The 25,772-nt window shown below is 36.1% G+C and overlaps 1 protein-coding gene across 8 annotated transcripts in view, besides 1 other annotated feature; it reads right to left on the reverse strand.

The window, feature by feature from the left end:
* TMPRSS15 (transmembrane serine protease 15) overlaps window positions 1-25,772 on the reverse strand; it is a 216,769-nt gene that overhangs the window by 25,040 nt on the left and 165,957 nt on the right. For all 8 annotated transcript variants that reach the window (NM_001428057.1, NM_001428056.1, XM_047440913.1 and 5 more), the window contains 5 exons: window positions 20,991-21,101; window positions 18,790-18,922; window positions 3,579-3,674; window positions 448-497; window positions 115-289 (listed from right to left, as the gene is read on the reverse strand). In NM_001428057.1, coding sequence (NP_001414986.1) covers window positions 115-289; window positions 448-497; window positions 3,579-3,674; window positions 18,790-18,922; window positions 20,991-21,101 — 565 coding nt within the window. The remainder of the gene's footprint in view (window positions 1-114; window positions 290-447; window positions 498-3,578; window positions 3,675-18,789; window positions 18,923-20,990; window positions 21,102-25,772) is intronic.
* Window positions 4,064-4,891: an enhancer, noted in NCBI's record as "NANOG hESC enhancer chr21:19670536-19671363 (GRCh37/hg19 assembly coordinates)". NCBI's record gives its function as "activates a minimal SCP1, AML or CMV promoter by ChIP-STARR-seq in naive H9 embryonic stem cells {active_cell/tissue: H9 hESC(naive)}" and the evidence as "EXISTENCE:reporter gene assay evidence [ECO:0000049][PMID:30033119]".

Consider the following 25,772-nt stretch of genomic DNA (forward strand, 5'->3'; position numbering starts at 1 on the left):
AAACAGCAGGATTTCCCTGGTGGGATGGTTTTGTGATGCTGCATGAAATGGGACGCTTGGCAGTGTCTGCTGTGGTGACCTAGTTTGGGAAGGGACACTTGACATCACACTCACCCATACACGCAGTGTGCGGCGGACACCAGCCAGTCACTGCTGACGAGAGATGCGCCGCAGAGCAGTCGGCCGCCATAATACAGACCCACAACCCAGGGCCAGGCCCCTTCTTTGGCATTACTTCCTCCAACAATCTTTGGGGTGATGTCTTGAGCTGCCAGTTTTTTTCCACAAGCTATTAAAATAATTGGAGAAAGAGCATCTATTTCATTTTTGGCATTTCTTCTGATGGTGAAAATTGAGTGGTAACAAAATAACTTCAGGTGACATAAAACTCTATTCAGAATTTTAAACAGAATGCTTGAAGTGGGATATGACAACATATTTACTTACATTTATGGTTACACTGTAACCGAATCAAGGAATCCTGTAAACACTGTTGACTGTAATAGAAGAACAATCATATTTTTAAAATTATGCATTTAATATTTTCAAGTCAAACATCATATAGGTTATCCTACTTTTGCTTTAGTAAAATGGACATCTTAATGTCTCATATATGAAATGTAGGGAGACTGAATTGTAAGCCGAAGAAGCCCCAGTTTAATGTCAAATAGAGGTGAGTTTGCATCCTTATTCTACCATTTCTATGTGACTTCAGGGAAGTTACTCAATATCCCTGAGACCCAGTTTCTTCTTCCATAAAATGGGGGTAATAATACTTTATTGGAGTGTTGTGAGAATAAAAAGCAATATTTGCAATAAAACTATTACAGGGCCTTATACACAATGAAATTCTATAAATGATAGATATTGTTATGTTACTTGAACCGACATTGGTTTTCATCATTCTATAACACAGAGTATGCCTCAGTATTGCCAATCTGACAACTATTCCGTGCCCAACACCGTGTATGAGGCTGTGTGCTTCATTCAGGGAATTGAATGATGAATGCGTCACAGGTGCTGCTTTCAAGGAAGGCAGACACGTAAGAAGCACATATAAAAGAAAGCACAGGCAAAAATTACTGAAAACTCATCACCTGCTTAGAAATTTAAATACCAACTTTTTTCAGTGTCAAGAATTCCATTTTAAACAAAAACTAAGCAAATTTGTTTTACAGTGCATTATACTTATCAGCCACTAGAGATCAGTATAACACAAGAAATTAGAGTACTTGCTCCCACTATTTCCAAATGCAACCACTGCAGATATCGGCTACATTAAAACACACACATTATACATGCAGATACACAAATAATTGTAATGACTTACTTACATTTATATACTTAGCTACAGCTAATTGTGCATGCTGTTTAGATCTTTAAAAATGCAACGTAAATAAGACCTAAGATCCACACGTCTAATCAAAGCAATTCAGTGTTTCAGGAAAATATATGATAAAGTTTATTTGAAATCATATGTATACGTATTGAATGACTGGCATATTCTTTACAACACAGAATGATTTTAGTTGAAATATAAGGAAGTCTATCTTTTTAGTAACTAGTGTGCATGCATGTATATCAATCTAGATATATTGACATGTATTTCTAACACCCCAAGGAAGTCTCAATTAACTCCCCTTTTTTTCACCCTGTGGTGGGAGGTGGTGGTCTGAGTCTGCATATATCTCACAATAGGTTACAGAATCAGAATAGGCCGGGCGCGGTGGCTCACGCCTGTAACTCCAGCACTTTGGGAGGCGGAGGCGGGCGGATCACGAGGTCAGGAGATCGAGACCATCCTGGCTAACACGGTGAAACCCCGTCTCTACTAAAAATACACAAAAATTAGCCAGGCGTGGTGGCGGGCACCTGTAGCCCCAGCTACTTGGGAGGCTGAGGCAGGAGAATGGTGGGAACTTGGGAGGTGGAGCTTGCAGTGAGCCGAGATCACGCCACTGCACTCCAGCCTGGGCAACAGAGCGAGACTCCGTCTCAAAAAAAGAAAAAAAATAAAGAATCAGCATATAGGTCAGTAGATTTTTATAGTTGGCTGAATCATTTTCCCTGACATCCTCTTCTTTTACCTATTTTTTATTACAACCACTAGCGCAAGGGCATTTTCAAAAACACCAGTTTTCATAGGGATACAAACATAATCATCTATGCAATAAATAATAAATGCATAAATAAATTAACCAAATAAATAAATGAACATATGTCTGATTTTCTGCCAACCCAATATAATGTGGCTAATTAAGGAAGGGATTAAGGACATTTAATTAACTGGCTTGTTGATGTGATGAAAGGTTAAAATATGTCTATAAATGATGTCTCTCTCAAATAGCACACACATACATTATAATAGTGACGTCAATGGAAAATGATACTGGCATTTCGTTGATAAGCATAGAATAAGCTAGTTTTGATCTCAAGCATGCATATAATTAACATAAATGATTTTAAATAATTTTTTCTTACAAATTTTTAAATGCCTCTAAGACGTGAAAAGAAGAAATTCTCAATGTTCAAACTGCTTCAGGATCTATATGGTAATATAAATTTAGACACGCCTTACAGGAAAGGAAATCTAGAAGCCTGCTTTCTCATTTGCAGATGCTTTGCTTCATATCCGATGAGACTCATAATATCAGTCAAGGCCCAGCAAACATTGATATAAAACATTCAACTGCAAAGTTCTTTTTTTGGTACTCAAAATACTCCTTTACCATTTTTATTTTTTTACTGGTTAAGCTCACAGAAATGTTAACTTTTCATGAAAAACTGAATAATTATCTAATTTCATTTTTTACCATGAAACAAAATATACCAGCAAAGCATCTTAAATCCTTGTTTGTAGTTATGGCTTCTTGCAGTTACATTCTTCCCACCCACAGCTGTTCTTTAATGGAACTGTAAAATTCAGAAGCCAATTTCAACAAAAATTACCATTAATACCCAAATAGGAGAAATGACTTAATTTAGCTAAAACAGATCTTTGAATACAGGAAAGATGCTGCTTTTTAATACCTTAGTAAAGGCTATAAAAGTAAACCTAATATCAAAAAGTAAAAGAGAATATGTAGACACGATGAAAGGTCTAGACTTCTTCATTTAATATTCATGATCTATTTGCCAAGGAAGAGAAAAGAATATCAAGATATTCCCCTCTTTCTTCTCTTTTAGTGGTAGCTAATTTGGTCTGCCTCCAGTCTGATCAACACTGGACCTGTTTTATCCCAGTTCTCACAATTTCTTTCCAAGTGATTTAATTATTTATTAATCTGAGGCTAATGATAAAAAAGGGTATAAAATTAAAACATGTCAAATCCCTATGAGTGTGCCAGAAATTTACATACAGAATATTTCTTTTGACCATCTTATATGTATTAGGGTTAGAAACTGTTATCAGATATTAAATAGATACTGTTTGAGATTACTTAAATAATAATATAAGTCAAATAACTTTCAAGATTATATGACCAGTATGTAATAGCATTCAAATCTGACTGGCTTCAACAATCTATCTTCTGCCATGTCTATGTACAACTAGTCTAAGAACAGATTTAGGGACCCACCTGGGTGTTAGTATTAAGTGGCCATCAGGTGCTGTGTTTAATTTGACAAATGGTCCACCATCGGTAGGGAAGATTGGCTTTGATGAGTTTCCACTCCTAGAGAAAAAAGAAAAAAGCATACAGACAAAACAAAAGCATAAAGAAAAGACCATAAGTTAGACTTTCAGTTCCTTAATGCTATGGACATTAAAACAAATTATGGGATACCAGCCAAAAAAATGAACGTTTTAATATAAAACTTCATGTGTTTTCCTATCTAAAGGATGATGCAAATGAGTAGAATTACCCATAATCCCATGAAATGTCATTTTAACTTTAATGTAATATCTTTAGTCTTTGTTTGCATTCTTATGTATTATTTTACAAAGTTAAATCATTACATATATCACTTAGTTACCTGTTTTATAAATGTGATTTTTTCTATGTTGTCAAATAGTTTCCATAAAAACCGCTTTGAATGACAATTTCCCAGCATTGCTGCACTGTAATTTATTAAGCTTTTCTCCTGTTGTATAGCTCATCTTTTTTTTGGCTCATCTTTTTAAAAGTGCATGTAGATAACAACATAGACAGAGACTATCTTCAGTGTTTAATTTTGCTTTGTTCTTGATATTTCATTCAATTCAAAGGCTAACAAGCCCTAATTTAAAGGAAGTCATGTGACTGCACTAAAGGAGAGACTATGCAGCTTTGGCCTGCAAGTGTCAATTGGCGAGGCACCACAGGGTGGAGAGAGACACCTCTGTGTGATCAAAGACATTGAGGCCCCAGGCTTTCTTTTCCCTGAAAACCTATAATTCCCATGCTCTCAACTGTGAGCTCTAATTGAAGATTTCTCTTAATTATCCTGACACTCTTTTTTAGACTTAGCTGGAGACTTTTAGCTTTTAATTCTTAATCTTGTTTCTTGCCTTTTATTTCAGATTTTAATCATCATATAAAAATATGCCTTTAGGCTGGAAACATCCTGATTTCTGCTCTCTTCTACCAGTGAGCAGGGAGATGATGTGGTTCTACCTTTTGGAGTACTGTGATGGACCCACCCATTGCCTCTTTAAAAGAAGCCCCAATGTCTTCCCCAGGCTATTGCCAACACTGACCCTTTTCTGTCTGTTTCCAGGGAACTTCCAAGTAACATTCAAAGCTTTTCTGATCAATTAGAAGATACGAACTATTTAGAAAGTGGTTCTTCTCTCTTTTAATGTTTTCATCAAGCTGAAAGAATGTTTAGTAACTTTCATCTACTGAACGTAGAGCTGGGACAATAGATGTCTATTTAATGTTCCAGAATTTAAATCTTGCACTTTTATTTTGTAAACAGATAAAAGTAACTGAAACACACAAAGCCATTACCATACTTTAATAAAGCCTGAAATGGATTTACCAAGGGAAAGATGAGCCTTGGAATTCCTATTGTTAAAGATTATGCTATTCCACCAAGTGGGCAGAAGGAAAATCTCATTTAAATATTTACATAAAATGTATTTGCTATGGCTTAGAAAACAAAACAGGTGTGAAGATGTCAAAGGGTAGCTGAGAATGTAGAAAGTCTGGAATGCTCCAGATCATGAAGAACTTCACAGATGCAGAACACTTGTATTTAAGGACTCACACATTTAGAGCAGACCGAATCTAGATAAACACAGATGTTAGAGGACCTTGAATTTCACCATTCTTGCAGGTTTTGGTAGAAATCCTCACAGTAATCTCAGCTTTCAAAAATATCAAGGGATGCCATTTCAAATTAAAGAGGTTTTAGTTGTGTTTTGCTGTCTGCAGGCTCCAGAAACGTCACTGGAATTCGTTGATTCGTGAACATCACTGCTGCCAGAGTAAAGTTGGTTGGTTGGGAGAGTCATTCTCCAGCCTGTCTTCTAGACATCTCTCTTCTTTTCTTGTGTTTGATCATTTCTAGTTTCCTCATTCAGCTGAATGCCTGCCCTGTGTTTAACATTCTTCTAGGTAGTTTTCCACGTTCTTGACTCCCCATGACACATTCTCAAAGTGATGCTCTTTCCAGACAAGCAGCACCAGCCTCAGGAGAGAACATAGGTCCAAAGGCAAATTCTCCACCCTCACTCGAGGCCGACTTAGCCAGTAGTCTTAGGCCTGCTCTAGGGTAGGGTCCGGCTATCTGTATTTCACCAAGCCCTCCAGGTGATCCTGGTGCCTGCTACAGTCAGGAAATCATGTTATAGCCAAATATAGCATCTTTTTCTGCTACTGGCATGAGGCTCTGCTTTTTGACATACAAAGTGACTTCTAGTTACCCAATAATCTGTTTTACGGCACTCATGTCTAAATGAGGAAACCTTTTGAAAGGTGTATCATTAAAAATAGATGTTAGAGAGGTGGATTTTAGACTCTTCACTTATCTATAGCTCGTCTCTTGGATATATCCCCCGTCTCTTGGATATCTCTTTTAAGACAGAGCCCGAAGGGATACATTCCTTTTTCTTTCTTTCTCTTTCTTTCTTTTTCTTTCTCTCTTTTTCTTTCTTTCTTTCTTTGTTTTTCTTCTTTCTCTCTTTCTTTCTCTCTTCTTTCTCTCTCTCTTTCTTTCTCTCTCTCTCTCTTTCTTTCTCCTTCCTTCCTTCTTGCCTTCCTGCCTTCTTTCTTTCTCTTTTTTTTTTTTGGATACTCTGTTGCCTAGGCTGGAGTGCAGTGGCTCAATCTCGACTCACTGCAACCTCTGCCTCCCAGGTTTAAGTGATTCTCCTGACTCAGCCTCCCGAGTATCTGGGACTATAGGCGTGTGCCACCACACCTGGCTAATTTTTTTTGTATTTTTAGTAGAGAGGGTGTTTCACTATGTTGGCCAGGCTAGTCGTGAACTCCTGACCTCAAGCAATCCACCTGCCTTGGCCTCCCAAAGTGCTGGGATTACAGGTGTGAGCCACCACACCTGGCCAGATACATTAATTTCTCTGGAAATTCACACCAAAATTTGGAGAAAAACTAAATTGAACAAGTATTTAAAAATTATTTGTAAATATTTTTTAAGCAAGCCTATTTATGACACATCTACTTCTGGCATGCATTTGGATAGGATTGACAGTGATTTTTTTTTAAACATATGCCTATTCTAGAAGGAAAGATGACTAGAGCCAAATTTTTAAGAATAATGGGTATTCAGTAAATGCCACTTGTTCCACCCCGAGATTTTCAAATGCTGCTCCAGGGTGGCACTTTCACTATCCAGCAGAGAAAATTGGAGATACATATACACATGGATAAAAGATGTGTAATCTTATTTTCTGAGATGATCTTTTCAACATTTTTAGTCTCAAATTTAACATGAGAAAACAAATATAAATATGTCGTCTTGGGTTATTTAGAGTAGTTGAACAAAATACTCCTTCAAAAATAGTTACAAAATTATCACATAATTACATTTTTGTACTAAATATTGTTACCAGTAACATAAGAGTAGGGTATAGGGCCCTCAGTTCATACCAATGTTTCTCCAGATGTCAGTTCTACATGTTAAATTTGGGATTTGTGATGGACTACCTGCATTTCAAATCCTGTCAAGTCAAACTCATTCTTTTTCTGACTAAACACAATTTATTTCTTTGTAAGCACAGTAAACAGATTAAAAAGCAGCAGAAGTTTACAACAAACTATTCCTTATTTTAAGAAATCACGAGGCAATAAATATACATTAAAAATCTTCTTCACAGAAGAAAAGATTACCCTATGTGAAGTCACCATTTACTTTTGAAAGACAAAAATCTCAGAACTACTAAAAAATTGAATTCAGAGGAAATGTATTATATTAAGTTCTGTAATATTTAAGCACGCACCTGAGGCTCTTACTGCCTCAGTTTTCTTTTCTTGCAAGGAAATTAGTTGTTGATTTTTAGAGAGGCACTCTGCGAAGATTAAAACTAGACTGTACATTTTCTAAATCTTTAAAATGTTCCATATTTGCAGATTTAGATAACTTCATTACACATTCACATAGCTGTTTGAAATCAGAAGTTTAGTATCACATAGAAACTCCATATAGCATTACCTTGTTGACATACTAATGCCTCCCGGAAACCTATTTCTAAGCTTTTATTGCCATTTTTATAGGTTATATAACCTCAAAGAGCTCTCCTTACTTTAGGAAAACTTTATTCCATGTGAGAAAAGAAGCATATAGATGCAACCATTATTATTTTTGAGGTCATAGATGGCGTATAAAAATATACTCATAGATGAATTCTAGGGAGTAAAAAAGGATATCTCAAGGATACTTGCATGGTATTAAATCTTCTGCTCTGTTCTTAGCCCCTGACTAGGTTTCTTCTCTTTTGTCTCACTTCTCAGGCTGAATTTGCTGTGATAAGAATTCTTCCCTGGAGCAGGAGCTTAGGCGGGGATGTTTTAAGGCCTTTGGACACACTAAAGCTAAAAAGAATAATAATGCATGCTGCAAATACTGCAACTAGGCACTGTAGCTCATTTCACACCCCAAAAGGTTTAAGTAATGAATAGAGCCAGGTGGGATTAGCCCGAAAAGGCTTTTGGAGAAGGACGGTTGTTTCTTTTCAGATTGGAGGGAAAGAAGGGGATTGATTTAGCAGGACAGAAGGCAGGGGGACCATTTTACAGGCAGAGGCTTGGTGGATAGAAGAGATTCGATGGCAAATCATCCCACTAGGAAAGTAAAGGCATGTGGGCAGGTAGGTAGAAATGCCATTTCTGAGCTGGACACATTTCCACTACAATTATTTAACCATGTATTGCATTTATAACAATACACCTAGCACACACCTAGCCCAGTGATAGCTCTTAGCAAACAGGTAAGTTTAATTAATTTTAGATTTTCTGACTTCCACCCTTAGGAGTTGATGGCATTTACTCAGAAGTAAAGAAATGTCAATAAAAACAATTATCTTAACCTAATCAATTTCTACTTTTGTGCAAGCTACTGTATTAAGAGCAAGAGGTAAATTGATGGGTTAGTCTGGTAGCTATTCTCTGTTATCTTACAGATGCAATGGTATTACAAAGGAAAGAAACTGCTGGTACCTCCTTCCTACCAAAAATACGTCTGAGAGAAGTGATACTTCTAGGAGATTGTCAAAGAGGCAGAATCTCTTCATGGGCAACATCTTGGAAACCTTGGGCAACGTGAACCACTTTAACATTATTTCCTTAGCTGCTGCTGCTGTTGGAGTTCCTTTTGTTTGTTTGTTTGTTTGTTTGGAGTAGAGGGCATATGACACACACCTCTACATTTCTTATTAAGTTTTCTCAGTGCATTATCACTTTCTAAGTACACATGAGTGAAATTTCCTTTAGAATTTAGTGTCCTTTAGAACTTGTCATCCCTTTGGAACTGTTAGCATTTATCTTATTTCGTCAGGAAAATTACATGGTTTTTTAATGTTTTCCTTTTTGCGTGGGTCTCCAGGAATCTCAGACATAAGTGTTAGTAATTACACCGACCTTTCATGTTTTGTAGATTTGCCTCTTTATTTCTTTGGATCTTATTTTTCTGTAGTATTCTATTAACTTTACTGCATATGTTCTTTGTTATATAGACCTCAGTTCCTTTTTGGAAAACAGATAATGGAAGAAAATCATGGGGGAAAAAAGAAAGAATAGAAGCATATGAGGAAAGAAGAAAGAAAATGAGGAAAGGAGAAAGAGGAAGGAAAAATTAAAGGGAGGGAGGAAAAAGGGGATATTATTTCATTGGATTTTATCGATTTTATTCAAAAATTGTTCTTCATCTCATAGAATATATAGCGTTAATTACAAGTTGAGCAGTTGGAAGCACTTTTTAGAATAAAAGCAGAATGAATAAGGAAGGTTTTGTTATAAGCTTCATAGGGCTGAGGTTTTCTGTCCTTACCTATTTCTGTTTTAGAATATAGAAACCTCCTCTTTTCCAAATAACAGGATCTAAGGAAATGATAAAGGACATTGTCTTGGGTGAAAACATACTCTCTTGTTTTTATATAACAAAATAAATACCTATACATTACAGATAATTTTTGGCAGATGATTTGTAATTGTGCCAAAACATAAAAGATGTTCTCCCTCTTTTGTGTGTGTAATTATATTCTTAGTAATTTCCTGACAACAAAGAATCTCTTTGGTGACAAAATACATATTAAAAAGTGTAAGCCAAAATACGAATGAAAGACAAAGAAGATTCTCCCTGAATGGTGGTGGTGCAAAGAAACGACATTTCACAAAAGTCTTGATTTCCAATAAAATATTTTCAAATGCTTAGTAGGAGAAAGGAGGAATAATGTTTTTCCAAGTAAGAAGTAATACCCGTCTGTGGGTGGTGAAAACCTTGCTATGGATATTTTTCACTCTGTTGATGATATCCTTCTCAGATTTCTGATGCAGGTTTTAAAAAATTCTCCATTTGATTTCATCTATGCCAGGGTTCGTGGGGGTCTGGGGTGGTTCTAACAAAGTCAAAGTACGCTAGGACAAACTAAGAAATGTCCTGGATTAAGTCAGATGATTCTCAATAGGGTGTTTAAACCTGGTACGGTAGAAAAAAGTTGTTTGATATGTGTGTGTGTGTGTATCTTTATTTTGTTTTTATTACCAGGTGAAATCAAACTGTCAAAGTTTGGGGATGCTTTGTATAACTTCTATGTTGTTTTCTACTGAAATGAGTATATGAAGGATCGTGCGTGTCTTGACTACTCTGTCAGAATGACCTCGGCCTTTTAAAGAACTAAGACCTCTGGGTCTCACTCCAGCCAGGGTCCTTCACCTCTTTGGAATCCATGGAAGTTCATGATAACATGTAGGAGGTTGGTAGTTGGCAAAGAAATAATTACATCTTTATTTTTACTAACTTTAATCTCTTCTTCTGATACAAATGTAGGTGATTAACCACAAAATTATTAGCAACATCTATAATATGGTCACCAAAATGAACTGCAGATATATTCATATCATATTGCAGTTGCTAGATACATATAAAATATCATTTATGTTCACCTTTGATATTACAGTGGTCATTAGAGCCACCAGTGTATCTTATTAAATATGTTAATAAAGAAATATATATTTCCATGGATTTAAAAATTTTTGATAATTATTTTTAATGTAATAAATTTCCTTTGTAGTTCTGTGTGTTTTAGTTTATATACTTAAAAATACTCTTTTTTGTGTGTAATTATATTCTTATTAATTTCCTGGCAACAAAGTCTCACTTGGGTGACAAAATACATATTAAAAAGTGTAAGCCGAAGTAGGAGCGACAGACAAAGAAGATTCTCCAAATTAAGTTTCCCCAGACTGACAAAAGTACCTATGACACATAAACAAAGGTTGAGAGCACTTACCCTAGGTGGTGGTTCTCAACTCTAGAATGCACCTGAATTACCTGAAGGACTTATTAAATCACAGACTGCTGGGCCTTACGCTAGACTTTTGGGTTCAATAGGCCAGAGGTAGGATTCCAGGATTTGAATTTCCGTACTTTTTTTTTTTTTTTTTTTTTTTGAGACGGAGTCTCCCTCTGTCGCCCAGGCTGGAGTGCAGTGGCGCGATCTCGGCTCACTGCAAGCTCCGCCTCCCGGGTTCACGCCATTCTCCTGCCTCAGCCTCCCGAGTAGCTGGGACTACAGGCGCCCGCCACCGCGCCCGGCTAATTTTTTGTATTTTTAGTAGAGACGGGGTTTCACCGGGTTAGCCAGGATGGTCTCCATCTCCTGACCTCGTGATCCGCCCTTCTCGGCCTCCCAAAGTGCTGGGATTACAGGCGTGAGCCACCACGCCCGGCCCCTTGAATTTCTATAAATTTATCCCAGGTGATTCCATGCTGGGATGGAATTTGGTCCTAAAACCACACATTGAGATCCACTGACCTAGACCATTCTGAATCTAAGAGTCTGAGGCTGAGACTAGGTGATTCTTATGTATAACCAGGCTGTACCTTCAAGAGCTGGTGTAGCTGCTGTATTACAAGTCAGTGGTACACCTATTGTCACTCCCTTGCCCAGAGCAGACATAATTATCTTATCACTGTGCCTTCCCCCACCCTGCTAGATATTAAACCTATTAAGTATTAATGTTAAAAAGTATCAAATTATGGTAGTTTGCTATTAATGATTTGCTCTTTAATTATTTTTAATTAATGCATTTCTAATTTTAAAATGGAGAAAACATCAGAGTTATAATTTGTGCTTCAAGTAAATGATGGACTTTGTAGTTAAGTCAATTAAACCAAATTAAAATAAGATTTCTTCCACAACCTTGCCCAAAGCTTTTCTCACCCACCCCACCACAGTAACATAGCTAAGAATAAAAGTACCTTCTGTGCTGAAGTTGCAAATCAAAAAATTTTAAAAATGTAAAATATTATTTATTTCTGTGTAAAGTTAGCGAATTAAGTAGAAATCATCTAAAGCCAAAGGTTACATTTTTTTTTTACTGTTCCCATATCTGTGTTGTTGTTTTGTGTCTGAGTTGTAATAAGTCAAGGTTTTCCCCACATACTTGAAAATTTTGGGACATTGGCAGAAAATATGAACAAGGGCAGAAGCACTATATGTCTACCACCTCCTTAAACTAGGATGAAACATAGGTTCTATTTCCAGTGTTCCGGAACTCAGTGCTAAGTTGTATAAACAAATTCATTGCGGTGGTTACATCAGAATTTAAATGATTATGCTCTATGTTTTTGAAAGGCTTATTGAAAAACATTTTAATCTCTTCCCCCAGTATTTTCAAAACACCGCTGCAATGGAAGAACCTTGGGGTAATTCTGTTTCTTATTAGCATTTGAGAATGTAAGGCTCAATTTGATGTTCCTGATATTTAGAAGTATCTTGGACAGGACTAATATGGGATTTAAAAATTAACACCAATTCCTCATAGGCCACCTTATTAGAACACAAATAACTAACTCCACTTTTGAGATATTAGTATTTCCTAAATTCTCTAAAGTTTTACAGAAATGATGTTTTTTTCTAGATTTTAATGATTTAGCAGGGTAAATCAGCTATATCATTTATATATTGGGTTAGTAACAGGGAAATGCTATTTGCTAGGAAATACCATTAAAAAAACACTACCCTAAGTTTTTTTAACCTTTATTGTTGCATCAGTATAAAATGTTTTCTTTCATACTTTGATCAAAGACATGAAAATGTTATTCAAGGTACTTTTTATTTATGCATGTAATGAATGATAGGAAATGAAAAGGTTTAATATAAAAAAAGGAAAGGCTAATGAAATAGGCCTCATAGGATTTACTAGAATCTGAGGGGAATTGCATTTTGTACCCTATCTGCATAAATAATCTTGAGAGACTACAGTGGCTTTTTAATAAATTGACTATCAAATTACTTTCTACTGCAGCAAACACACATCATTTTAAACTCACTAAGTTTTCTTTCAGTTACCATGCACCAGTCTAGACAAATTCTCATTAAGGATGTAACTTTCTTTCAATTACTAGAGCACTATGGAGACTATTTAATAAGCACAGGCTCAAAGATTAAAGTCTTTGCAGAGATTACCTAACTCATTTACGAAGAAAGCAAGCACCTGACCTTCATCAAAAATATTGTATCTAAGGCAGTGGGATGTACTACTTGTGTTACAGACACTAAAAAATCTGGTTATTTGTCTCTCTGTATCTGGTTAGAAGGACTACGATTCGTGGGAAATGGGATCAGTGAACTAGAGAGTAAAATCTGGCTGGGGAAACCACGTAAGTAAATGGAACAGAGCTGTGTGTCATCCACTCAGCTCAGGCCATTTTCTAGAAAGCCTTCCTTGACATGCCTTTATTGACTTAAGTTCTGCTACAGCACATTGCATTTATCACATTATATTGTAATGATCTATTATGTGTCTATCATCACCACATAAGCATGTAAAGCCATGTCTTATTTATTCATGGAACACATACAATATCATCACCTGTGCTTAGATTTCTGACCCAGGAATAATAATAATATATTTACATGATATACTGTTAAAATGTAATAAAGATGTATGTTTCCTTCCAATTCATTGGAAGGAACGTAAATGTAGGGATCCACATTTTGCTATCAGCCAACTAACAGGTTTCATTCAAATTAATTGAAAAAAACTTCTGTCAAAGTAAAGTGTTGATCATTTTGACCTTTGTGAATAACTCATCTTAACCCAATACATCCTCCAGGAAACAATGTAGTTAAAATTCACAAACCACAATAGAAAGAACTCCTCTTTTTATAATCACATGGTGATCTGCGAAAAGTGATGAATTGAGACACAAATCTGGGCAGGGAAAGCCCAGTCATCCGGGGCACTTGGGCGCATCAATTGTGGAAGCAAGGTCAAGTCCCCAGTCTCCTTAGCTTAATCTTTAGAAACTAAGTTCCTGAGTCTATACAGCAGCTCCTGAGCAATTGAAGCTAATGGCTTCCTAGGACCTCACCTCTTTGAATTCACTATTGAACTAAAATTAGTGTTTAAAGTAGGAACTTGGAATGAATGCCACTTACCCAGTTCTTTACTTGAAATGAAAATAAACAACTGTCACTTTCTGGGTTTTGTTGACTCTTTATCAACAAAAATTGTTTCTCCTACAACTTGCCCTCTTCCAAGACTTTATGTCTGAAAGCTCCCCATGTTTAAAGAGTTTTTGTTGAAGTTTATACTGTAGAATAAAAAGAATTACACACACACACACACACACACACACACATTTAAAGTACAGGAAGGCTCTGACTAATATGCATAAACCAAATCGATTTTTTTAACACATACTATTTATAAAAAATATGCTCAATAAAAGTAGGAATAGAAAGAAATCACAAAAGAATGTGGTTTGACCCCATTTTATAAAAAGTTTAAAAGTACATATATGAACAAAGATCTAGAAAACTATACACTGAGACTTTTTTTTTTTTTTTAAAGTTCTGGGACACATGTGCAGAACATGCAGTTTTGTTACATAGGTATACATGTGCCATGGTAGTTTGCTGCACCCATCAACCCATCATCTACATTAGATATTTCTCCTAATGCTATCCCTCCCCTAGTCCCCCACCCACTGACAGGCCCTGGTGTGTGATGTTCCCCTCCTTGTGTCCATGTGTTCTCATTGTTCAACTCCCACTTATGAGTGAGAATATGCAGTGTTTGGTTTTCTGTTCCTGTGTTAGTTTGCTGAGAATGATGGTTTTCCAGCTTCATCCATGTGCCTGCAAAGGACATGAACTTATCCTTTTTTATTGCTGCGTAGTATTCCATGGTGTATATGTGCTACATTTTCTTTATCCAGTCTATCACTGATGGACATTTGGGTTGGTTTCAAGTCTTTGCTGTTGTGAACAGTGCTGCAATAAACATACGTGTGCATGTGTCTTTATAGTAGAATGATTTATAATCCTTTGGGTATATACCCAGTAATGGGATTGCTGGGTCAAATGGTATTTCTGGTCTAGATCCTTGAGGAATTGCCACACTGTCTTCCACAATGTTGGGAAAACTGGCTAGCCATATGCAGAAAACTGAAACTGGACCCCTTTCTTACACCTTATACAAAAATTAACTCAAGATGGATTAAAGACTTAAACGTAAGACCTAAAACCACAAAAACCCTAGGAGAAAACCTAGGCGATATCATTCAGGACATAGGCATGGGCAAAGACTTCATGACTAAAACACTAAAAGCAATGGCAACAAAAGCCAAAATTGACAAATGGGATGTAATTAAACTAAAGATCTTCTGCACAGCAAAAGAAACTATCATTAGAGTGAACAGGCAACCTACAGAATGGGAGAAAATTTTTGCAATCTAGCCATCTGACAAAGGGCTAATATCCAGTATCTACAAAGAAGTAACAAATTTACAAGAAAAAAACAAACAAATTTACAAGAAAAAAACAAACAACCCCATCAAAAAGTGGGTGAAGGATGCGAACAGACAATTCTCAAAAGAAGACATTTATGCAGCCAACAAATATATGAAAAAAAGTTCATCATCACTGGTCATTGGAGAAATGCAAATCAAAATCACAATGAGATACCATCTCACGCCAGTTAGAACGGTGATCATCAAAAAGTCAGGAAACAACAGATGCTGGAGAGGATGTGGAGAAATAGGAACGCTTTTACACTGTTGGTGGGAGCGTAAATTAGTTCAACTAAACTGATTATTTATATAATGAATAATGAAATTCATTTCCTCTCTTTGCTCTTGATAGGAATTTCGTTCCTGATGAGGCTGACATCACTTGGATGAGGCTTGGAGCTGGGAAGTTTCCATTCTAAATGCACAGCTTTTGAGAATATAACAGGAACTGGAAGCTCTCAGTCCAACTGTAAGAAGCTAAGTTAGGTATAGAAGGAACGTACCTCAACACAATAAAGATTACATATGACAAAGCCATAGTTAACAATATATTAACAGGAAAAAGTTGAAATCTTTTCTTCTAAGAACTGGAACAAGACAAAGATACCTACTCTCACCACTCTTATTCAGTATAACACTGAAAGTCCTAGACAAAGCAATTAGAATAAAGAGAGAAATAAAGGGCATCCAAATTGGAAAGAAGGCAGTCAAATTGTCTCTTTTCATAGATGACATGATCTTATCTACAGAAAAACCTAAATACTCCACCAATAAAGAGAATTGATCATTGAATTTAGTAAAGTTTCAGGATACAAAATAAACAAAACAAAATCATTACAGTTTCTTTACATCAACAACCAACTAGCTGAAAAAGAAATCAAGAAAGTAATCCCATCTACAACAATCACAAAAAAAAACAAACACCTAGAAATAAATTTAACCAAGGAGTTGAAAGACCTCTTCAAGGAAAACTGTAAAACACTGATGAAAGAAATTGAAAAGGACACAAACAAATGAAAAGCATCCTATACTCACGGATTGGAAGACTTAATATTGTTAAAATAACAATACTACCCAATCCCTATTTAATGATAGGGATTTAATGCAATCCCTATCAAAACACCAAAGACATTCTTCACAGGAATAGAAAAAAAATCCTAAAATTTGTATGGAACCACAAAACACACCAAATAGCCAAAGCAATCCTGAGCAAAAAGAACAAAACTGGAGGCTTCACACTACCAGATTTCAAAATATTCTACAAAATTATAGTAACCAAGATAACTGGCATAAAAATGGACAACAGACCAATGGAACAGAATAGAGAACAAGATAGAGAACCCTGAAATAAATCTATGTTTACAGCCCACTGATTCTTTTTTTTTTTTTTTTTTTTTAACAAAGGCACCAAGAACATTCACTGGGGGGGAAGAACAATCGCTTCAGTAGATGATGCTGGGAAAACTGGATAACTATATGAAGTATGAAACTAGACCCTTATCTCTCACCATATAGAAAAATCATATCAAAATGGATTAAAGAGTTAAATCTAATACCTAAAATGTTGAAACCACTAGAATAAAACATTGGGGGAAACACTCCAGGACATCGGTCTGGACAAAGATGGCTTGAGTAAGCCCATAAAAGCACAGGCAACCAAAGCCAAAATGGACAAATGGGATCACATCACGCTAAAAAGCTTCTACACAGCAAAGGGAATAACCAACGAAGTGAAGAGCAAATCCACAGAATGGGAGAAAATATCTGCAAACTATCCATTTGACAAGCACATATTAACCAGAATATATAAAGAGCTCAAACAAATCGACAAGAAATAAAAACATATATTCCGACTTTAAAAATAGGCAAATTATCTGAATAGACATTTCTCAAAAAAAGACATACAAATAGCCAACAGAATATGAAAAAATGCTCAACATCACTAATTACTAGAGAAATGCAAATCAAAACCACAATGAGATATCTCTCACCCCTGTTATAATAGCTTTTATCAAAAGAGAGGCAGTAAGGGATACTGGTGAAGACATGGAGGAAGAAGAACACCCATAGACTGTTGGGGAAAATATAAATTAGTACAGCCACTATTCAGAACATTATGGAAGTTTCTTAAAAAACTAAAAATAGAACTACCATATAATCCAGCACTTCCACTGCTGGGCATATATTCAAAAGAAAGGAACTCAGTATATCAAAGAGGATATCTGCCCTCCCATGTTTATTGCAGCACTATTCACAATAGCCAACATTTGGAATCAACCTAAGAGAAAAGCATATGTTTTATAATTAGAAAACTTTGGGCATATGTTTTTATAGATTGGTATATGGATATTTACATATACATAGAGTGTATATATAATGTATTGCTTAAGTATTTGGCACTGCTTTTTAAAGACAAGGATTAGCCTAGAGTTTAGCATTACAATAATACAAAATAGACATGGTTCTTCCCTTTATAGACCTCATAGTTTAATATGACAAACAAACTTTAAATGATATAGTGTTATAAGTTATAAAGATAACCACATGTGAGCCAACATGGTTAGTAATCACTAAATCTTCAAAATCATTAAGGATCAGAATGGTGGGTTAGAGTTGCCAGGTTGTAAAATGCAAAATAAGTATGTTATTACTGCTCATTACTTTCATTTTCTACCTAATTACTTAATTACTTTTAAGACTTGATGGGAAGGTAAAAAACAAATATGGCGAAATTACATATTTGATGCAAGCTATTAATGCATTAGACTGGGAGGTATAATACATTTTTGATGAGTTATTAATTGGAATTTTTACTTGCATCATCCTTGCTGAGAATATCTTTCTTTATCCTTCTGTAATATAAAATTTATAGAAATACTGTAGCGGGAGAGGTTATGCAAAATTTTTAATTTTAAAGATATTTTACAAATTTTGCATAACCTCTCCCACTACAATTGTACTTCTATAAATTTTCCAAAAAAACTATTGTAAATGTGTTGCAAAGATATAGCAAAAGCATATTCTCTGTAGTACCCTTGTGATTATTTATCTATATTATGATATAGGATAAAATGAAATATTTCATTAAAAAATCATCAAAAAATATAAAATCATGAGAAATGCCCACACATAAGTATTTTGTATAACAGAGTATATTGTATTTTATATAATATTTACATGTACTTTATACAGTATTCATACAAAGGTTATTAACAGTGGTTATTACTTGAAAATGGGGTTAATCAAGATTTTTATTTTCTCCCTTTTGCTAATGTGTATTTTCTAAATTCATAACTTTATAAATTTTAAAGCTCTTATTAAACCTAATTTGATAGTAATAAAAAGGTTTGCAAATCTCTTAAAAAGGAACTCAGTAGAATTACTTACCCTAGTCCCAGCAGTTGACAAACATCATTTGAAATCTGGGTGGTCCAGTTCTCAGCACAAGCTGTATGCCATATGCTCTGGATTCTGAACCGCACTAAACCATTGTTGTTCGTTGTGCCATTGAAAAAACGCACTAAAGACACAGAGAGCATAATGGTAGTTACCAGAGACTGAAGGGTGCGGAGTATGGGAAGACATCGTTCAAAGAGTACAGAGCTTCATTTAGACAGGAGGAATAAGTTCATGAGATCTCTTGCACAGCACTGTGACTATAGTTAATAATAATGTATTGTATATTTCAAAATTTTGCAAAATTTCAAATTTTCTCATCATGAAATATGGTATTTAAGGTGATGGATAGGTTGATTAGCATAATTCAATCATTCCTCAATCTCTCTCTCTCTCTATATATATATACACACTTTTTAAATATGTATATACACATTCTCTGTATATACATTCTCTCTCCATACTTTCTATTAATATATATTATATATAATAACATCACATTGTAACCCATAAATATATAGAATTAAATTTTTCAAATATACAGCAAATTTTTTGGAAAAATTAACAAAAAAAGAGACATTAAAGAGATTAGATTACACATGTGGTCATTTTGACCTAAATTGATAGGAGTAAATTATGGCCTCTAAACTAAATGTGCAATGTTCTTAATATTTCGAGTTTAGAGATTGATTGTAGTTTTTCTTAAGAGCATGATGGAAGGTCTAATTTGAAAAATATAAATTTAGTAGACAATTTTGCTCTTTTATGTAACCATAAAAATGGAAAATGCAGAGATATGCAAGTTTATTACAAATCTATACAGCAAATAAACAGAAAATAAAGTTATCTGTGAAGAGTATATATAAGAGTATATATAAACTTAGTTTCTGAAAGAAGGAAACTCAAGTTTAGGGATTACTTTAGGAATTCCCTCCCCACCAAAAAAAAAAAAAAAACCACTTTCTTTGTACTTGCTTTTATACCATTTGATTTCTATCAACTTACTTATCATTTTACAACCATTTTGAACAGAATTTTAAGGCCATTAGTGGCCAGGTAGGGACTGGACCAAGCTAAGCGCGTTCATCAAGGGAGGAAAACATCAGTAATTGTAGTCTTACCTACAAACACTATGTTGTAATTCTATAAAATAATGCTACATTGTTTACCTTTTTTTTCCTATTATGACAAGAGCTAAGAGCAGTGACTACAGAATTATACAAACGTAGGTTCAAAAACAGCTATGGCCCTTACTGGGTGTGCAACCTTTGGCAGCCACTTATCATTTCCAAGCTGTAGTTTCCTCATGGGTAAACTATAGCCGATTATTTTTTTCTTTTTTGAGATGGAGTTTCGCTCTTGTAACAAAGGCTGGAGTGCAATGGCATGATCTGGGCTCACTGCAACCTCCGCCTCCCAGGTTCAAGCGATTCTCCTGCCTCAGCCTCCGGAGTAGCTGGGATTACAGGCACCCACCACCACGCCTGGCAAATTTCGTATTTTTAGTAGAGACAGGGTTTCACCATGTTGGTCAGGCTGGTCATGAACTCCTGACCTCAGATGATCTGCCCACCTCGGCCTCCCAAAGTGCTGGGATTATAGGCGTGAGCCACTGCGCCTGACCAGCTATACCTAATTCTTGTTGTGGATTTTTTTTTTAACTTAGTTACAGTGCATGGTACATAGTACGTAAGTGTTAAATATTTGCTTAGAAATAAAAAGACATAATAAAAGTATCCATTACTCATAATGTTATTGAGGTGTGGAAGGGGAGCTGGAATGAAAACTCAGCAGGGCAGGGGGAGAAAGTGAACTATAAGTAAGCACACAGGTGCCTCTGAATGTGGGCAACAAACAGAAAACAGTAGCCAATATGAGTGGTGCTAGCCTGCTTGGTTTGGAATATTGTCTCTGTGGTATTCTCGGCTTCCTATATGGATATTTGTTGCTCTAGAATTACAGTTAATAAGTGTGACCAAATTGAAACAAACAATAAACTGAGGCCTGCGTATTAACTTTTCTTCTATCCAGATGGGGACAGAGGTGCTAAAATCATCTCAGAGATGAGATGTTCTCGTTCCAAAGCATCAAAACAGGTCCTAATAGACACAGTTATAATCTTTCTTTGACACTGTAGAGTCCAAATGCAGAGGCTAAAGTCATAAAAGTATTTTCCTAAAAATAAGACATACCACAATCTGCTTCATCTGAGCCATCCTCACAGTGCAGATGACCGTCACAGAGATTCACCAGTGGAACACACTCTCCATTTTTACATTGAAAATGGTCTGCCTTGCATGGCTCTATGGGGAAAGAATGTTTATTGTATAGGATAAAGAAAACACAAATGGATGATTCTGGAGTACAAATCCCATTTGCTCCCCTTTAAACATGAGTCCTTTGCCACAGCTCAAGGTGGAACCAGCTTTGATACTGAGTAAATGAGAGTTAATGGGTGCAGCACACCAACATGGCACATGTATACACAATAACAAACCTGCACGTTGTGCACATGTACCGTAGAACTTAAAGTATAATAAAATATATATATATAAAATAATAAACATGAGTCCTTTGCCACAGCTCAAGGTGGAGCTAGCTTTGATACTGAGTAAATGACGAGTTAGTGGGTGCAGCACACCAACATGGCACATGTATACACATATAACAAACCTGCACGTTGTGCACATGTACCGTAGAACTTAAAGTATAATAAAATATATATATATAAAATAATAAACATGAGTCCTTTGCCACAGCTCAAGGTGGAGCTAGCTTTGATACTGAGTAAATGACGAGTTAGTGGGTGCAGCACACCAACATGGCACATGTATACACATGTAACAAACCTGCACGTTGTGCACGTGTACCCTAGAACTTAAAGTATAATAAAATATATATATATATAAAATAATAAACATGAGTCCTTTGCCACAGCTCAAGGTGGAGCTAGCTTTGATACTGAGCAAATGACGAGTTAATGGGTGCAGCACACCAGCATGGCACATGTATACACATGTAACAAACCTGCATGTTGTGTACGTGTACCCTAGAACTTAAAGTATAATAAAATATATATATATATATAAAATAATAAACATGAGTCCTTTGCCACAGCTCAAGGTGGAGCCAGTTTTGATACTGAGCAACACCATCTACTTGTTTGCTCAGAAAGCCTCAGAAATAGTTTCCAAGCTGATGTGTATGTAGCTTTAGAAGAGTGTGGATGAAACCTCAGACATCTCTTTTGCAGCAAAACTCAGGGAATTTCTAAGAGGTGGCTGAGAGGTTGTCAACTCACCTCTTCCTCGTAATTTCGTTAGTATCTCTTCAATAAACAAACTCCTCCACCCCAAACGAACATACAAGCAACAACCATTGAACTGTTACTCAAGCACAGAGAGGTCCCCTGGCCTCACCATCCAAATGATACTTCCAAAACTTTGTAAGAAAGAAATGTGGAAGTTGTCTGTTGGTGAGATCAAAGTTGGATTGGGTCGGAAACAGAAGGCTCAATTAAAGCTTGGTCAGGCAGGAAAGGGTAGTTACAAAGAAATGGAAACTTTGCCGTATCGGTAATGTGAAAAGAAGTTGAGGATAGAGCTCCAAACAAGTACAGCAGTGTTGGAGGCATGGGCATGTGCTTGGCACATGGAGACACAAAAGGAAAATGAAAAACCTGGGCAAAGAAGAAACTGGGTAGATCTGGAGGCCGTTGGTGGTGGTTTCCAGAGTTTGGGTTGTGCAAAAAGAGGCCTAGTGGAAACATTCCTTATTTAGAAGCAGCTACTGCTGTTTCCTGAGATTGTTCGGTCTTTAAAAGTTTTGTTCTGGGAGAGCCCTCATATCACTGGGAGAGAGGGGTTTGCTTCCCTCTTCCAGTGCTTTCTGATTATGGCTTAGGAGGTACAGTTATGTGCTGGAAGGAGAGTAGGAACTCCATGAGGGCCACTTGGAATTTGGTTCCCTAACAATGGTGATGGCTGTCAGGTGTGGAGAGGCTCAATGTCTTATCCCCTACATGGCACGTGAACAATCATATGGGGAAGCAAAAGCACTTGATAAAAATAAGAAACAGGGAAGCTTCTATTTTGAAAACTATTAGTGACTATTAGTCAATATAATAACATTACTATTACATTGCTTTCAAGGAGACTCAGTTCAGGTTAATATGATTTCAGAAACAAATTATAAAAATATCCATGGAGACTTTCTGAATTTATGATGACCAAACATAAAGCCACTTGAAAGGAATTATTCCTGTTGTTTTAGAATCTAAGTTGTAGACTCACATCTGAGAGTACTGAAAAATACCATTACACTTCTAAAGAGAGGGACTCAGTATAGCCATACTATACTTATTGAAAAAAATACCAAAAGTAGTCCAGCAACTATCAATATCCATCATCTATTTTCAGCTTTTTAATAAAAGGGCATTAGAGTATTTTTCTAAAAAATATATTGAATAGAGTATTTGAGGGGGGGTGTTTTTATGGGGGTAAGGGGAGGGTGGTGCTATCCAGCAAACCAAGTGTGGGATGCCCTAAGAGAATCAATTCCTAATTGAGTTGCCTGAAAGAAGCAAGGTCAGCATCTAACTCCCTGGCCAAAAGTTGACTACACTGCATAACCACAAGGACCAGGCTTTCATGGGACTAGTGTAAGGGCTTTCAGATTTTTTAAAACTCTGACATTAGTATGAAACAGATTTTAAGTAATAACTCTAGGATACACATCAATGTGTGTGTTTGTGTGTGTGTGTGTAACTAAATTAAAATTTGCTTTTACTCTGTTCTATTATTTCCCATCCCATCCCATCCCATCCCATCCCATCCCATCCCATCCCATCCCATCCCATCCCATTCTATCCTATCCCATCCTATTCCATCCCATCCCATCCCATCCCATCCCATCCCATCCCATCCCATCCCATCCCATCCCATCCCATCCCATCCTATCCCAACCCATTCTATTCCATAACAAGGCATAAAATTTGTTGGGTAGTGAAACCAAATAAATTCATTTCACTACCCTGGTTTTTGATAAATACCAGGATAAACTGAAGTATACTGAAAATATTAATGAGACAGTGACATTATTTTCCTGAAGTTTGTGGGCAGATAGCTGTGTAAATAAAGATTGGTATCAATTCCTATGAAATGAAATCAGAAGTTAGGAAGTTGGCAAGGTGGACACTGGAAAGATGATCAGATGACAACTGCCTGGCAGGGAAGCCCGGCTCTAGCACAAAAAGTGGAGGAATGGAACCTGGGGATTAGGGATTCGGAGCTGAACCAGTTTATAAGAGATTATTGTACTATAAGAGGTGTATTGTCTATAGTGCAATATTCCAGGGCTGGTGGAACAATGCTCTGAAGAGCTCACAAGTCTGTTTCACAACAGAGCTGGCATTTGGCCAGAAGCTGGTGTTTGCCAAATGAAAACTACAATGGTAAAAATAAATAAATAAATAAAAATAAAAACTTCCTATCTTCCAACATTGGAACGATGGGAAGATGGGGAAAAAAGGGAAGTGGAAACTAAAACAAAGACAATATTTCCACCCTCCTCTGCCTTAAGTTATTAAGCCAAGGTCTGTGCCTGAGTTGAGGGATAAAAGAAGCTTTGAATTAGATGATATAAAAGTGTTGATATTATACTTGACTGTTCATTTTAACACTTACAAGTGAGTGTAAGTTACTCAGATAAAATGATTTAACACCGGAAGTAACTGAAAAAGTGTAGAGATCTGCCTGAAATATTCAGAGCCGAAAAAGGAGATTTGAATTAAAATAGAGACAAATGAACCTTTTGTTTTGCTTATATGGTCATTGAGGTCAGTCATTCTGTAAACTGAATATACAATATGCCAGCTGTAATACCCATAAAGCCATGTTTTCTCATCTTTGTATGTCCAGGTCTTGGTGAAATGTCTTTCACAAAGCAGGGAATAAGTAGATATTTTTAAAACATAAAGTAAATTAATGTATGTTAAAAGATTGATATGCCTCAAAATAAGTATGAAGCTTAGTAATAGAGTCAACGTAATATAAAGCAATTTTTAAAACTATGATTTCAAATAAAGTTTAAAATTTAAGATAATTGGCTGACGGTAATTCTAGTGATTTGAAAAAAAGAAACAATTTTATGAATTATGAAGATATAATTTACTTAGTTAAATTTCAATAGTGGTTAAGACACAGGACTTAAAGTAATATGACCTTGGTTGAAGGTGCAATTTAGCCATTTCTTTTAATATTTCTTTGACCTTGGGCAAAGAAATTAGCCTGAGGCTCAGTTTCTTTGTCAATAGGAGTAAATACTACTTTTGTCTTTGGTGTGTCAGGAGAACAAATTTTATAAGATAATGAAGTGTATTTATCATACCAATACATATACAGAGAATACGCAGTAGATAATATTTTTAACAGTAAAAACAGTAACAGTAAAAAAAAATCTTCTTCACCGATTTTTTTTTTTTTTTTTTTTTTTGAGACAGAGTTTTGCTCTTGTTGCCCAGGCTGGAGTACAATGGCGCCATCTCGGCTCACTGAAACCTCCGCCTCCCGGGTTCAAGTGATTCTCCTGCCTCAGCCTCCCAAGTAGCTGGGATTGCAGGCATGTGCCACCACGCTGGGCTAATTTTGTATTTTTAGGTGAGACGGGGTTTTCTCAATGTTGGTCAGGCTGGTCTCAAACTCCCGACCTCAGGTGATCTGGCCGCCTCGGCCTCCCAAAGTGCTGGGATTACAGGCGTGAGCCACCGCGCCCGGCCTTTCACTATTTTTCAAGTTAACATTTTTACTCCATGTGCTAGTTGTGCTGTTTCTCCCTACGAATAACAAAATAAATAAGAAAACATACCTAATCCTTTCCTCTCAGTATCTTACAACAATAATTGGAGCTATTTGTATACTCTACTTTAAGCTTTGAAGAAATCTGTATTTTTTCATCTGAAATCTAAGTTACCTTAA

Source organism: Homo sapiens, chromosome 21 (assembly GCF_000001405.40).
Source record: "Homo sapiens chromosome 21, GRCh38.p14 Primary Assembly".
Taxonomy (NCBI): Eukaryota; Metazoa; Chordata; class Mammalia; order Primates; family Hominidae; genus Homo; species Homo sapiens.